Below are 16,091 nucleotides of genomic sequence, written 5' to 3'. Positions count from 1 at the left end.
CTGCTGCAGGCTACACCCTGCGCAGGACCCTGTGGCTGCACGTGGGCACAAGGGGAGGCCCGGGCCAGACTCGGGCTGCAGCTTCAGAAGACACTCCTGCTGCCCTCCAGGTGCATTAGATGAGGACAGGACCTGAAGTCCTAAACTGCACCAGGGCTAGGAAAAAGGGCAGGAGGCGGGAGGAACAGGACCCTACGGGCAGACCACCTGGGAGAACCTCTGCAGCCCCTCCACAGCCCTGTGGTTGGGGGCACCTGGGGCCCCCTCGTGCACATATCTCAGAGCGATGGACCAATCTACCCACATGGGCAAATCCTCACCCTGGGAAAATAAGCCTTTACCGCACAAGCAGCTTTTAGAACTGATGCGTGCTTTATGGTTTACACCCAAGCCAGCAGAGATTCCGAGTTCTATGTGAGCCTGGGGTCACAGAGTCAGAAAATACGAGAGCTGGACCTCAACCCTGAGATCTCTGACTCCCATTCCGGTGCTCCTTCCCACTGCCATGGGAAAGCCAGCTCCACCTGGCCCAAGTACCACAGCAGGGAGCGAGGAGGGGACAGTGGCCAAACGTCTTCTTGTGTGTTTTGAGTTCTTGGGGACCAAGGGTAGTGTCTCAGCGTGGGAGGCGACGTCTGTGTGATTCACAAGCATCTGAGAAAATGATCCGGGCAAAATGCAGAAAACCATCCTGCAGGCACGGCACACCCACCTGAAAGACCCGAGTGCCAAACATGGACTGTGGGGTCATGGGGTGAAACAAGAGATACAGAATCAAGTGCCATGAGGTCACAGGGAGGAGAGGTCTGGTTCTCCTTGGGAGACCAGCTACGGGATCGCACAGGAGGCAACGGCTGATCTAGGCCTAGAGAAGAGGCCAGCAGTGACCTACGGGAGAAGCGGGGAAGGGGAGGGCACAGAAGCAGGACGCAGAGGAACGTGACCAGCATGACGGAGAGACCACCAGTGTCGCAATGCCCAGGAGACACATCACACCATTCGAGGGCACAGCAGGCTGGCAAAAGGGGAGGGCAGGCCGGGCGCGGTGGCTCACAGATGTAATCCCAGCACTTTGGGAGGCCGAGGCAGGCAGATCACTAGAGGTCAGGAGTTTGAGACCGGCCTGGCCAATGTGGTGAAGCCTCATATCTACTAAAAATACAAAAAATTAGCCAGGCATGGTGGCAGGCGCCTGTAATCCCAGCTACTCGGGAGGCTGAGGCAGGAGAATTGCTTGAACCCGGGAGGCGGAGGTTGCAGTAAGCCGAGATCGCGCCACTGCACTCCAGCCTGGGCAACAGAGCAAGACCCCGTCTCAAAAAAAAAGTAGCGGGGAAGGGCAAATGCCAGCAAACAGGCCTCAAGGGTTAGGGCACTGTGTGAAGTGATCCATGTACACTCTCTTATTTAATACCACAATCCACTGAAGGAAATAGTATTAACCCCTTTTACAGCAGGGAAAATGAGGCTCAGAGAGGTTAAGCGGACCAAGATCATGTTGCTGGAAAGGAGCAGAGTGAGGCTTGGGCGCAGGCTTGGCCCCAGGGTCTGTGGCGTTTACCACGGTGCTACACTGCCTCTGAGGAGGAGAAGGGGCCCGCTGGGGAGGAGATCCCATGGCCCACGGCTTCCCAGAGTGGACGCCTGCCTCCCCGCGGGCCCCCGAGGGCACCTGGGGTGGTCTTCACTGTAACAGTCACTTACTGAGCTTTGACAGAGACCCTCTTTGTGGGAGGCCACCCTGATTTTCCTTTTATGGTAGTGACGTAAAGGTGCCTTCTGAAACAAGTCCACTGAAGTTGTAACACCTGAGCCGCTTGAAGGAAAACATTATGGGCCTGAGACAGGTGACACACACACAGTACAAACAGTGCCGGCGCTGTGCGGACGCTGGGAAAAGGTGCCGCATGCTGAACCCTCTCTCGAGGGCAAAGGAAGGAAGCCAAGGGGCCCGAGGCGGGGTGCCCATGACCTGCAGAGCTTTGCTGGAGGACTCTGCAAGCAGCAGAGAGAGAACGGAGCGGCTGGAAGGGAGGGGCCAGGGGAAGACCGAAACGGGGCCGAGGGGCGCTGCCCTCCACTGCGCTCACAGCCACAGAAATGACATGAAAGGGTCAGAGTCATAAGGCATTTCGGGAGCAAAATTAAGAGGACTTGGTGACAGAAAGTAAAGGGGGGGCCGAGAGCTAAACACACCAAGTAACCTGGGTTTCAGAAAACAGAATGACGGACGCTTCAGCCGTGATACAGACGGAGGAGGAGAGTCGCTTTGCGAGAGGCAGATGATAAGGCTCTCTTTCTGGACGCACGGCAAGCCAGGGGCCCCTGGGACACCCAAATGGGATCAGAACAGCACTAAAACCTAAGCAGAAAGACAGGTGTAACAAGAACAGAGGTGGAAGCTGAGGCCACGGGAGGGGTGGAGGCCCTCAGGGACAGCATGTAGGGCTTTGGGGTTTTAGGGGGTTTTTTGTTTGTTTTTGAAACGGAGTCTCGCTCTGTCACCCAGTCTGGAGAGCAGTGGCGCGATCTTGGCTCACTGCAAGCTCCGCCTCCTGGGTTCAAGCGATTCTCCTGTCTCAGCCTCCCAAGTAGCTGGGACTACAGGTGCCTACCACCATGCCTGGCTAAGTTTTGTATTTTTAGTAGAGATGGGGTTTTTGCCATGTTGGCCAAGCTGGTCTCAAACCCTTGACCTCAGGTGATCTGCCTGCCTTGGCCTCCCAAAGTGCTGGGTGCTGGGATTGCAGGCATGGGCCACCATGCCCAGCCTAACTTTTTTTTTTTTCTGTATTTTTAGTTGAGACGGGGTTTCGCCATGTTGGCCAGGCTCGTCTCAAACCCTTGACCTCAGGTGATCTGCCCACCTCGGCCTCCCAAAGTGCTGGGATCACAGACATGAGCGCCTGGCCGGCTTTCATAAAGCAAAAATGAACAGGAGCCCTCCAAGGGGCAGGGAAGGAGAGGTGAGAAGGCAGCCTGCTGGGATGGGCTGGAAGGGCGGTGCTCAGGGAAGAGCGCGTGCCAAGCAGGGGGTGGCAGAGGCTCCACCTCCCCTGCGCTGAAGAAATCACCAAGCCAGGTGCCTACGCACCCAGCCCTTCAAACGCACTCCGTCACTCAGAAACTGCCGACAGAGCAGTTCCCCTCCCGGGCGCAGTCAGCGGCTCTGCCTGGCACTGCCTGGCCTCCATGGGGGGAGCAGCGTCATGGTCAGAGCAGAGGCAGCCAGCGCACAAGGTCACGGCCTCCGGCAGCTTCAGAAACCACTCACAAAAGCCGGGAGTCACAAGGTGTGGGCTATCAGCATTTTCCCAGCCCGTAAACGCCCTTCACCTGGATGGCGAGGAAAGGCGCATTCATCTTATGATTCATTCAGTGTGGATGTATAACATTTATCACAATAAAAAATCATGTTTCAGCAGTGATAACTATGTACCCTCACTTCCTTTAGGAGATATAAATAGAGATATTCTGAAGCCTGTTGAGACTTCCAGGATGAACCTGTCAGACTGACCACACGCATTTATTATCCCACTTCTTCTGAAGCCCATTAAAATAACAGTAAGGGGGCTGGGTGCGGTGGCTCACGCCTGTAATCCCAGCACTTTGGGAGACTGAGGCAGGCAGATCACCTGAGGTCAGGAGTTCGAGACCAGCCTGGCCAACATGGAGAAACCACGTCTCTACTAAAAATAAAAAATAAAAAAACTAGCCGGGCTAGTAGCTGGTGGCGGGTGCCTGTAATCCCAGCTAGTTGGGAGGCTGAGGCAGGAGAATCACTTGAACCCGGGAGGCAGAGGTTGCAGTGAGCCAAGATCACGCTACTACACTCCAGCCTGTGCAACAAGAGCAAAACTCCATCTCAAAAAAAAAGAAAAAAGAAAAAGAGAAAAAGAAATATGATGAAAAGACTAAGTTGAGGAAATCTCCCAAAAAGTAGAACAAAAACATAAAGATACAGAAAACAAAAGAGGGAAGAGAAAAAAGATCAAATAGCCGACCAAGAAAGTTCCCAGAAAGAGAAAGGGGAGGGGAGCTGGCAGCTGGTATCCAAAGCTGGCATCTCTTGGTGCTGATGGCTTTGTGTGCTCCCCTCTTGAATCTGGGCTGGCCCTGTGACTCAGTCTTGACCAACAGAATGAGACAGACGTAACATTACCTCACTTTCAGGAATGAGTCACAGGACAGCTTCCACCTCTACCTCTAGGAACATTTGCTCCAGAGAAAGCAAGCCTGCACGTGAAAGGCCTGACTGAGACTGTCAATGCTGCAGCTGGGAACATGGAGAGGCTACATGGAGAGAGATGCCCAGATGCTCCAAACATCCCAGTCCATGCACATGAAGAAACCACCTTGGGCATCTCAGCTCCAGTAGATGCTATGAGAACACAGCCCAGCTCCCGGACATACAGCCCCAGTGGACCGTCGCAGTCATCTCCAGCCATCTGAGCCACCCAAGATGAGGTCCCCAGACGTTGTGAAAGCAGAGAGAAGCCATCATCTCCAACACGCCCTAGCTGAATTCCTCACCCACAGAACTTGAGCATAATAAAATGGCTGTTGTCTCACCATAACAGAAAGATTAGCAGGGAAATAGTACAAGAACATCTTCCAGAACTGAAGGTCCTGAGTCTCTGGGTCCACCAAGTACACAGCACAGTAAAGACACAAGATCCATCCCAAACACTGTCAGGAAATTTCAGAACACCTGGGCAAATGAAAAATTCTCAGTGACACCAGAGAGAAAATATAAATACATACCATATACAGAGAAATAGGAATCTGGGCCGGGTGCGGTGGCTCACGCCTGTCATCCCAGCACTTTGGGAGGTCGAGACAGGCAGATCACCTGAGGTCAGGAGTCCGAGACCAGCCTGGCCAACATAGTGAAACCCCGTCTCTACTAAAAATACAAAAATTAGCCGGGCATGGTGGCACATGACTGTAGTCCCAGCTACTTGGGAGGCTGAAGCAGGAGAATCGCTTGAACCGAGGAGGCAGAGGTTGCAGTGAGCCGAGATCACATCATTACACTCCAGCCTGGGAGACGAGAGTGAAACTCTGTCTCAAAAAAAAAAAAAAAAAAAAAAAAAAGAAAAGAAATATGAATCTGCATATCATCAGACTTTTCAACAGCAACTCTGGAATCTAGTAGGCAATGATGTTATAACTCTCAAAATTCTCAAAGAAAATTATTTTCAACCTAAAATTTCACACCCAGGCAAACTATCAACCAATAAAGACATTCTGAAATATGCAAGAGCTCAAAAAAATTCACACCCTTGCACCCTTTCTTGGGAGGATACTATCACTAGAGGATGGGGGGGCTCTGGAAGTGAGATCTCCTGGGGGAAAGAATGGAATTGACAGGTTATCTGATGGATGCAAGCTTGGCGGAGATGGGGGAGGGTAGGGAGGGGCCATCTATTAAAGTAATTGTGGTAGAAAAAAATAAAAGTAGAAAAATAGGCCAGGTACAGTGGCTCTCACCTGTAATTACAGTACTTTGGGAGGCCAAGGCGGGAGGATTGGTTGAGCTCAGGAGTTTGAGACCAGTTTGGGCAATATAGTGAGACCATGTCTCTCCACAAAAATTAGCCAGGCATGGTGGCAAGCACCCATGGTCCCAGCTATTTGGGAAGCTGAGGTAGGGGGATCGCTTGAACCCTGGAGGTCAAGACTGTAGTAAGCCATGAATGTGGCACTGCACTCCAGCCTGGGTGACAGAGTGAGACCCTGTCTCAAAAATTAAAAAAAAAAGAAAAAGAAAGATAGGTCCATAGAAAACAAAGCTAATGGCAGAAACAGGAGTTAATCATTAACTCCAAGAAACATGAAAAGTTATACAAGAAAGAAAACATAATTATGGTACCCTCTCACATAACAATGAATAACATTTACACAGTCATAAAAAGTAAACATTGGTCGGGCGTGGTGGCTCAAGCCTGTAATCCCAGCACTTTGGGAGGCCGAGGTGGGCAGATCACTAGAGGTCAGGAGATCGAGACCATCCTGACTAACACAGTGAAACCCCGTCTCTACTAAAAACACAAAAAATTAGCCGGGCGTGGTGGCGGGCGCCTGTGGTCCCAGCTACTCGGGAGGCTGAGACAGGAGAATGGTGTGAACCCAGGAGGCGGAGCTTGCAGTGAGCCAAGATTGCGCCACTGCACTCCAGCCTGGGTGACAGAGCAAGACTCTGTCTCAAAAAAAAAAAAAAAAAGTAAACACTGACCATTGAATTGGACCAAAAACTGGTGCTACTGGGAGGATACACTGTGTAATAAGGGGTCCCATGTGTTGGCTGAATTCCCGGCAAGCCCAAGAAGAAAAGGAGCCCCGTCTCACAGTGCCCAGCACAGAGGCGTGTTAAACCATCCATGCTAAGAAATCCCCCAGCAGTCTGTGAGCACTGAAAGTTTCCCTATCACAGAGCCAACCGGCCTTCCAGCTAAGCCACTGCTCCACTCCGCTCTAAGACTGTGTCTTAAGTCTTAACTCTTCTGAATAAGATTACTTGGTGACATAATGGATTAGGAGCTTCCATCATTGGTTCAAACTAAATAACAGTTTCAATGGGGACAGACTACAGCATTTCAGGGTAAATCTGCCTGGTCTATTCAATTACTATAATAATGTTATTCTCACTCATTAGAAAGACAAATGCATGAAGCTGTTTTCCAGCACTGAGACAGGGCACCTGGCCCATCCTCGTTCCTCCCCTTTCTTGCTTGTGACCGTGGTACATTCCTGGAAGACGAGTGTCCAGAACAAGGGGTTCCACCCATGGCCATGCAACCAAGCATCAGTGATTTGGCTCCCAGGGACCAGGGCTGGGATCTCATCTCAACAGCATGCTCTAACCCAACCTACAGAACACAGCGCAGGCCAGTGCGGGGGCTCACACCTGTAATCCCAGCACTTTGGGAGGCCAAAGCGGGCGGATCACTTGAGGTCAGGAGTTCAAGACCCACCTGGCCAAAATGGGGAAAACCCATCTCTACAAAAAAAAAAAAAAATATATATATATATATATATATATATACACACACATAAAAATTAGCCAGGCGTGGTGGCGTGCGCCTGTAGTCCCAGCTACTCTGGAGGCTGAGGCAGGAGAATCACTTGAACCCGGGAGGCAGAGGTTGCAATGATCTGAGATCGTGCCACTGCACTCCAGCCTGGGCGACAGAGTGAGACTCCATCTCAAAAAAAAAAAAAAAAAAAATCCAGCGCAGATCGATCAAACCTCCTGCCTCCTCCCAGTGCTGGCCTCTTTCTCTGGGACATTAGAAAAGAAAGGACAAGATACCTGCAAGAGCCTCCAGGGGCATACTGGAATCTGGCCATGGCCCCTGCAGTATTTCACGGCTGGAAAGTTCAGAAAGAGGGCTCAGCCGCCGGGAGCTCCACTGGGTGATCAAGATCTCCACGTGATGAGCAGAAACTCACTCCCCCGGCCAAGCCTACCTCTGACCCAGAGAGAACAGAGGCCTCTGGCTGGGCTCTAACACGCACCCTGACCACTGGCCTGCCCCAGCACAGGGCCTGGCACTGAATGAACTCAAAAATGTGTAACACATGGGGAGCTCATAGACCCCAAGAGGTGGAGGACTCGGCTGAGCTGGCACCCGGCTCATCACCACTGCAATTTGGTTCATCAGTGCTTTGGTTGACCTCATCTCCCTGCTCAAGAGCCTGAGACACGATTGGTGGGAACGTAAGTGAGCACAGCCACTATGGAACACAGCACGGAGGGTCCTCAAAACACTAGAAACAGAACAACCACATGACCCAGCGATCCCACTGCAGGGTACATATCTGAGGGAAAGGCAGTCAGCCTGTTGAAGAGCCATCTGCACTCCTGTGTTTACTGCTCACAACAGCCCAGGTGTGGAATGAACCTGAGTCTATAAACAGAAGAATGTACAAAGAAAAGGTGGTATAGGCCAGGCACGGTGGCTCACACCTGTAATCCTACACTTTGGGAGGCCAAGGCGGGCAGATCGCCTGAGCTCAGGAGTTCAAGACCAGCCTGGGCAACATGGTGAAACCCCACCTCTGCTAAAATACAAAAAAAAAAAAAAAAAATTAGCTGGGCGTGGTGGTGTACACTGTAGTCCCAACTACTTGGGAGGCTGAGGCCGGAGAATCACTTGAACCCGGGAGGCGGAGGTTGCAGCAAGCTGAGATCGCACCAATACGCTCCAGCCTGGTGACAAAGCAAGACTCCGTCTCCAAAAAAAAAAAAAAAAAGAAAAAGAAAAGGTGGTATATATGCACGATACTATCCAGCCATAAAAAAAGAACCAAATCCCGTCATTCGTGGCGACATGCATAAAACTGGAGGACATTATGGGAAGTGAAATAAGCCAGGCACAGAAACACACACACTGTGGGTTCTCATGCAAACGTAGAAGCTAAAAAAGTTGATCTCACAGAAGTAGAAAGCAGAATAGTGGTCAGCAGAGGCTGAGAAGGGCAGGAAAGAGAGGGGTTAGGGAGAGGTTGGCAGGGATACAAAAGTACCGAAAGGAGGAATCATTTCTAGTATTCTGTAGCCTTGTAGGGTGACCATAATTAACAATTTATTGTATATTTTCAAATAGCCAGAAGAGCAGATTTTGAACGTTCCCAATACAAAGAAATGATCAACGTTTGAGGTGACAGATATGCTAATTACCTTGATTTGATGATTACACATTGTATACACATATCAAAATATCACACTGTACCCCCAAAATAGGTATAATTATTATGTGTCAATTAGAAATCATGATCATGATAAAAGCAAAATTTTTAAAAACTCTGAGACAGAGTTAACCACTTCCCCACCTATTTGGTCTGTTACCAAGCTCCTGCTATTCCCTGGGGATTGATTCTGCTCCTGGCCTCGGGCTTCTTGTCTGGACACAGATAGTAGAGATAATAGTTAGGCCAGGCGCAGCGGTTCACACTTGTAATCCCAGCACTTTGGGAGGCCGAGGCAGGAGGATCACCTGAGGTCAGGAGTTCAAGACCAGCCTGCCCAACATGGTGAAACCCCTTCTCTACTAAAAGTACAAAGATTTGCCAGTGTGGTGGTATGCACCTGTAGTCCCAGGTACTCGGGAGGCTGAGGCAGGGGGATTGCTTGAACCCGGGAGGCATAGGTTGCAGTGAGCTGAGATTGCATCACTGCACTCCAACCTGGGCAATAGAGAGAGACTCCATTTCAAAAAAAAAAAACAAAAAAACCAAGCGCGGTGGCTCACGCCTGTAATCCCAGCACTTTGGGAGGCTGAGGCAGGCAGATCACCTTAGGTCAGGAGTTCGAGACCAGCCTGGCTAACATGGTGAAACCCATTTCTACTAAAAATACAAAAAATTAGCTGGGCGCAGTGGCGTGTGCCTGTAATCCCAGCTACTCGGGAGGCTAAGGCAGGAAAATCGCTTGAACCCAGGAGGTGGAGGTTGTAGTGAGCCGAGATCACGCCATTGCACTCCAGCTTGGACAACAAGAGCGAAACTCCATCTTAAAAAAAAAAAAAAGGTAAGTATTCTTCATCATCAGCCAGGTACGGTGGCTCATGCCTGTAATAGTAGCACTTTGGGAAGCCAAGGCAGGCAGATCCCTTGAGGCCAGGAATTCAAGACCAGCCTGGGCAATATGGGGAAACCCCGTCTCTACTAAAAATACAAAAATTAGCTGAGCGTGTTGGTGCATGCCTGTAGTCCCAGCTACTCGGGAGGCTGAGGCACTAGAATCGCTTGGACCTAGGAGGCAGAGTGCAATGCGCCACTGCACTCCAGCCTGAGCAACAGAGCGAGATCCTGTCTCCAAAAAAAAAAAAACTATTATTCGTCATCATCATCATATCAGCTAATATTTGCTTAGCACTATACTAAACTCTTTATGTACGTTATTTCATTTAATCTTTTCAACACCCCTATGTGGTAGATACAGAATTATTCTCCCATTTTGCAGATGAAGAAACTGAGGCTCAGAGACGGTAAGTGATTTCTGGAAGGTCCTGCAGCAAGTAAGTGGCACAGCTGGGATTCTGAGGGACCCGGAGGGGCAATCCCTGGATGACTTGCCTGTTGCACTGCTGCTTTGGATCCCTCGGCCTCAGTCCCACTCCCCGACCCCTGCCGCTCTGGTGTGCTGAGCCACTGGGCTCATTCATCAAGCCGTCTGCTGGGGAATGGGTAGTTCAAGGGCCGTGCAAACACCCACCTAGACAAACCTGAAGTCCACAAGCAAAGCTGCGTGGGAAAGCGCCTGAGACAGGCGTTATGTTTTTCTAAGAGAAAGTTATTTTTGCTTCGCTAAATGCCTACAAAAGTATCCTGTTAAATACCAATAACCCATTCTTGGATTGTTACAAAGGGCACCACTGACTATCATTCTGTTTTCTGATTTTTAAATTTTTATTGTAAATATAAATACATATGGCCGGGCACGGTGGCTCACACCTGTAATCCCAGTACTTTGGGAGGCCAGGACAGGTGGATCACCTGAGGTCAGAAGTTCGAGACCAGCCTGGATAACGTGGTGGAACCTCATCTCTACTAAAAATACAAAAATTAGCTGGGCGTGGTGGCGTGTGCCTGTAGTACCAGCTACTCGAGAGGCTGAGGCAAAAGAATCGCTTAAATCTGGGAGGCGGAGGTTGCAGTGAGCTGAGATCGCACCACTGCACTCCAGCCTGGGGGACACAGCGAGACTCCGGCTCAAAAAAAAAAAAAAAAAAATATATATATACACACACACACACACACACACACACATAAATACATATTCATTGGGAAAAAAAATTCAGAGTCCAGAGGCATCTAGTAAAGTGGACGGGGTGTGGGGAAGGCCCTGCCGCATCTGCCTTCTGCTCTTCTCATGCGACATCTCAACCCAGAGCAGGAGGCCCCAGGGGGCAAACCCAGCACCTGCCACAGGGAATCAGGGCTGAGAAAAGGCCGGCATTTCGGCCTTCCTGCCGAATCATTTCCAGCTGCCCTGGTCACCTAAGTGACAAGATGATGCATCAATGTCAATAATGCTGGAAGGGACTATCCACAGACACGGCGATATTCTCCCCAGGAGGCATGAGGGTGGCCTCGCCAGGCAGCTGGAGCCACTGAGAATTAAGGGGCCCTCTTCAGGATCTCTGTCTCCCCTTCCCAGATCCTCTCCCTGCCCCAGTTGGCTCAACCAAATGGTGACAGGAAGAGGCCATTCCTAGGCCAGCCAGAAAATCACCCAAGTGAAAAGGCACTGCTTCAGCCCCTAGACCCAGAACTGAGTGTACGTGGTGGGATGCGAGGAGCTGCCAAAGGGAGAGAACACAGAGGCTCTTCCTGCTGGAGGAGCTGGTTGCAGCTGCGAGACTTGGTGGGGGTAGCCGGGCCTCACCATTGCTCACCTCCAACGTACTCCAAGCCCACCGATCTAGCCTCTGAACAGCTCCTGGCTCCTGTGGACATGCAGGGACTATGTGCTGGATGAACTGAGGTGCTCAGGGGCTCTGTTGCATCAGTGCCCCATGAGAAAGCATGCTGAGAACCTTCCAGCCGGATCTGCCAAGACGTGTGTCTATCTGCCGGGCGCGGTGGCTCACGCCTGTAATCCCAGCACTTTGGGAGGCCGAGGCGGGTGGATCACGAGGTCAGGAGTTCGAGACCAGCCTGGCCAACATGGGGAAACCCCATCTCTACCAGAAATACAAAAAATTAGTCAGGCGTGGTGGCGGGTGCCTGTAATCCAACTACTGGGGAGGCTGAGGCAGAAGAATCACTTGAACCTGGGAGGCGGAGCTTGCAGTGAGCCGAGATCGTGCCACTGTACTCCAGCCTGGGCGACAGAGCGAGACTCCATCTCAAAAAAAAAAAAAAAAAAAAAAAGAAAGAAATAAAAGAAATGTGCCTATTTGGCCTGCCAGGCCGTAACGGCTATGAGGACAGGGACTGTCTTGACCATCTCCATGTAGCCCACAGGGTCAAGGGCAGCATTCCTACCCTGAAGGCCCTCAAAAAGTATCTGTTCGCAGAAAGACTTTACACTTGTGTCATAATTTGCTGTGACGCGTATGATTACTTCCTCTGCCAAGCACAGTTCCGTGAGGAAGATCAGGACAAGGAGTGATGTTTTCATCTTATATATAGATGAGTCGGCTGAGGCTTGGGAAAGGCTGAATGACTTGCTAACAGGAACACAGCTAGTCAGTGGAAGAAACAGAATTCAAATTCAAGAACGCTAGGCTGGGCGCAGTGGCTCACACCTGTAATCCCAGGATTTTGGGAGGCCGAGGCAGGCGGATCACCTGAGGTCAGGAGTTTGAGACCAGCCTGGGCAACATGGTGAAACCCCCTTTTCCACTAAAAATACAAATATTAGCCAGGCATAGTGGTGCACGCCTGTAGTCCCAGCTACTTGGGAGGCTGAGGCAGGAGAATCGCTTGAACCGGGGAGGCGAAGGTTACAGTGAGCCGAGACTGCACCACTGCACTCCAGCCTGGGCAACAGAGCGAGATTCTGTCTCAAAAAAAAAAAAAAAAAACAACTCAAGAACTCTGACTCCAAGAGCTGTGTCCGACCCGTCTCGCCCATTCACATACAGAGTGAAGGAGTGATTGAAGAAGCAAAGAATGAATGAAAGGGCCACTGCAGCCCCACTGCACCCCACAGCGAGCGTTCTCTCAGCCCCATAGCAAAGCCTGGAATTGAGTACGCTGAGTATTCCCTGCCCAATCAGAGTCCTGGCGTAAGAGGATGCTTCTCACTTGCAATGCACACTAGAAGTTTCTGGAGACCACACCCTGTGCCCCATGCATCCCCCACACCTCCAACAGTGCTGAACAAGAGATTCCCGACTGGCCCAGAAAGGACACACCTGCTCTCCCTGGAGAGAGAGGAGGCGGAGGTGAAGGCTGACAGGAGCCCACAGTTCACACTGACGTGGGTAACCACAGGGGCCTGTCTAGAGTTTTTGCTGTTGCTCGAAGGTTGGCTAAAGTCCTAGGCCCCTGCCTGTCCATTCTGGGTCCCTCCCTGGACCAGAAGGTGAGCAGGGAATAGGCAGAAAGGGTCACCCACCTCCCTATCTGGGTCACAGCCTTGAAGCCCCAGCTGGCGAGGCCCCAGGCCATGAGGCAGCCACCCTGGGATTCTCTGCCAATCATCCTGCGGCCATCAGGAACAGGGCTGACTCATGCCCAGAGCTCAAAAGCCGACTCCCAAGGGAGGTAACAGCTTTACCCCACTCTAGGCCGCAGATAGAAGAGACAAGTGACATTTTTAAAGTGTGTTTGTTTTACAGATTTACAGAACACAGGTGAGGAAAAAAAAAGAAAACAGGAGAGGAGAAAATGAGGGAGAGAGAGAGGAAAGACAGAAGGGTGGAGAGAGAAGCTTTTGGAAGCTTTTAGATCGAAGGCGCTTCCCTCTCCATCAAGGCCAAAATCCATCCGTTAAAAGGCTGCCCGGCTGGGGAAGGTGCCGAGAGCAGGGCAGCACGTGGAGTGGAAGCCAGAGGAAAGGGAACCGCAAAGGCTGGGCGAGGCCTTTCTGGACCCTCCCAGAACCCCGAGAGAAATGCCAAGAATGGAGGAGCGTCCCTGGGCTGGGACACCGACCTGCAGACAGAAAGTGCTTTCACACCAGCCTTGGGGAGCTCAGGAAAGGCTTTGCTGCCCCCTCAGAGCTCACAGTGCAGCCCTCAAATGCGCCCCTCCCAAAAGACCATCCTCTCCAGCTCCCCAGCACCACCCACGTGGTCTCCTGGGGGCTGTGGAGCTTGAACACAGAGAAGATGGAGGTAGCCCCTGGAAGCTGCTCTGCTGCCCACCCCACCTTCACATAACCCCGACCAAGACAACCCCGCAGCCTCCCTCAGAAGAGGGGCTGCCCAAGCCCAGGACCATCAGGGGGCCCACAGGGGAGGGGCCTTCAGAAAGAGCACCAAGAACTTCCAGGTTCCCATTTCTTCTTGGGGATCTGACATTCATTCCGCGAGTATCTGTAAAGCACCGACGGTGTGCCAGCATAGCGCTAGCCGCTGGGGACATGACACGAATCAGTCACGTTTGAGTCCCTACTTCCCTCACCCGTGGCCTCCATGGTATCACAAAGTCCTCGCCACCTCCCTAACTGTTCCATCACTCCACCCCGAAGCATGATCTCTCACCTAGACAACGGCACCCGCATCCCAGCCCATCTCCAGCCACTGCACTGAGCAACCCATTCTCCAGGAAGGAGACACAGGGACCATGCTGAAATGAAAAGCCAATCAACCATCCTGGCCAACGTGGCGAAACCCCATCTCTACTAAAAATGCAAAAATTAGCCAGGCGTGGTGGCGCATGCCTGTAATCCCAGCACTTTGGGAGGCCAGGGTGGGTGGATCATGACGTCAAGAGATGGAGACCAGCCTGGCCAACGTGGCGAAACCCCGTCTCTACTAAAAATGCAAAAATTAGCCGGGCGTGGTGGCGCGTGCCTGTAACCCCAGCTACTTGGGAGGCCAAGGCAGGAGAATCACTTGAACCTGGGAGGTGGAGGCTGCAGTGAGTTGAGATTGTGCCACTGCACTCCACCCTGGGGGACAAGAGTAAGACTCTATGCCAAAAAAAAAAAAAAATTAGCTGGGCGTGGTGGTGCACACCTGTAATCCCAGCTACTCAGGAGGCTGAGGCAGGAGAATTGCTTGAACCCAGGAGGTGGAGGCTGCAGTGAGCCAAGAACGCACCACTGCACTCTAGCCTGGGCAAAAGAGTGAGACTACATCTCAAAATTAAAAAAAAAAAAAAAAAAAGGCCAGGCACAGTGGCTCATGCCTGTAATCCCAGCACTTTGAGAAACTGAGGCAAGTGGATCACGAGGTCAGGAGATCGAGGCCATCCTGGCTAACACAGTGAAACCCCACCTCTACTAAAAATACAAAAAATTAGCCAGGCGTGGTGGCAGGCACCTGTAGTCCCAGCTACTCGGGAGGCTGAGGCAGGAGAATGGCGTGAACCCGGGAGACAGAGGTTGCAGTGAGCCGAGATTGCGCCACTGCACTCCAGCTTGGGCGACATAGCGAGACTCCGTCTCAAAAACAAACAAATAAAAAAAAGCAGATCACACCCACTAGGATGGCCATCATCGAGAAAAAAAGAAAAAAGCAAAAAAACAGATAACAATAAACGTTATCAAGAATGCAGAGAAACTGTAGCCCATTGTTGAAAAGTGTGGACGCTCCTCAAAAAGTTACACAAACAATTACCATATGACCCAGCAATTCCACTCCAGAAAACATTTCCAAACAAAAACATGTACACAAGTGTTCATAGCAACACTATTCACAATGATCACAGGTGAAAGAAACACAAATGTCCATGAACGAATGAGTGGATAAACAAAACGTGGCACACCAACACAAAGGAACATTATTCAACCCTGAAAAGGAATGAAGTGCCGTTACGGATTCGTGCTACAATGTGGATGAATGCTGGCTAAGTGGAAGAAGCCACACACAGACCACCACCTACTGTGTGATTCCATCTACACACTGAGCATCCCAAATCCAAAAAGCTGAAATCCAAAATGCTCCCAAATCCTAAACTTTTTCAGTGCCAACATGGTGCTCAAAGGAAATGCTCACTGGCACATTTTTTCTTTTTTTTTTTTTTGAGGCAGAGTCTCACTCTGTCCCCCAGGCTGGAGTGCAGTGGCACGATCTCGGCTCACTCCAGCCTCTGCCTCCCAGGTTCAAGCAATCCTCCTGCCTCAGCCTCCCGAGTAGCTGGGATTACAGGCGTGCACCACCATGCCCAGCTAATTTTTGCATTTTTAGTAGAGATGGGGCTTCACCATGTTGGCCAGGCTGGTCTTGAACTCCTGACCACAAATGAGCCACCTGCCTCGGCCTCCCAAAGTGCTGGGTTACAGACATGTATCACCACACATGGCTAATTTTTGTATTTTTAGTAGAGATGGGGCTTCACCATGTTGGACAGGCTGGTCTCGAACTCCTGACCTCAAATGATCCACCCGCCTCGGCCTCCCAAAGTGCTGGGATTCCAGGCGTGAGCCACCGTGCCTGACCTCGGCACATTTCAGATTTTGAATT

General features: G+C 51.2%; 1 protein-coding gene across 12 annotated transcripts in view, besides 5 other annotated features; it reads right to left on the bottom strand.

Moving 5' to 3' along the window:
• The window catches only part of RAP1GAP2 (RAP1 GTPase activating protein 2), a 282,097-nt gene that overhangs the window by 140,830 nt on the left and 125,176 nt on the right, over positions 1-16,091 (bottom strand). The gene's annotated exons all lie outside the window — the stretch shown is intronic.
• Positions 2,895-3,678: an enhancer, noted in NCBI's record as "H3K27ac-H3K4me1 hESC enhancer chr17:2796528-2797311 (GRCh37/hg19 assembly coordinates)". NCBI's record gives its function as "activates a minimal SCP1, AML or CMV promoter by ChIP-STARR-seq in naive H9 embryonic stem cells {active_cell/tissue: H9 hESC(naive)}" and the evidence as "EXISTENCE:reporter gene assay evidence [ECO:0000049][PMID:30033119]".
• Positions 2,895-4,421: a biological region, named in NCBI's record as "P300/CBP strongly-dependent group 1 enhancer GRCh37_chr17:2795785-2796984".
• Positions 3,222-4,421: an enhancer, noted in NCBI's record as "P300/CBP strongly-dependent group 1 enhancer chr17:2795785-2796984 (GRCh37/hg19 assembly coordinates)". NCBI's record gives its function as "activates an origin of replication core promoter dependent on BRD2, BRD4, P300/CBP, MED14 and CDK7 cofactors, with strong dependence on P300/CBP, by STARR-seq in HCT116 cells {active_cell/tissue: HCT116}" and the evidence as "EXISTENCE:reporter gene assay evidence [ECO:0000049][PMID:35650434]".
• Positions 11,232-11,985: an enhancer, noted in NCBI's record as "H3K27ac-H3K4me1 hESC enhancer chr17:2788221-2788974 (GRCh37/hg19 assembly coordinates)". NCBI's record gives its function as "activates a minimal SCP1, AML or CMV promoter by ChIP-STARR-seq in primed H9 embryonic stem cells {active_cell/tissue: H9 hESC(primed)}" and the evidence as "EXISTENCE:reporter gene assay evidence [ECO:0000049][PMID:30033119]".
• Positions 12,906-13,567: an enhancer, noted in NCBI's record as "H3K27ac-H3K4me1 hESC enhancer chr17:2786639-2787300 (GRCh37/hg19 assembly coordinates)". NCBI's record gives its function as "activates a minimal SCP1, AML or CMV promoter by ChIP-STARR-seq in naive H9 embryonic stem cells {active_cell/tissue: H9 hESC(naive)}" and the evidence as "EXISTENCE:reporter gene assay evidence [ECO:0000049][PMID:30033119]".

The sequence above is a fragment of the Homo sapiens genome, chromosome 17, assembly GCF_000001405.40.
Source record: "Homo sapiens chromosome 17, GRCh38.p14 Primary Assembly".
Lineage (NCBI taxonomy): Eukaryota > Metazoa > Chordata > Mammalia > Primates > Hominidae > Homo > Homo sapiens.
Note: the sequence above shows the minus strand (reverse complement) of the source record. Positions and strands in the feature narration are given on the sequence as shown.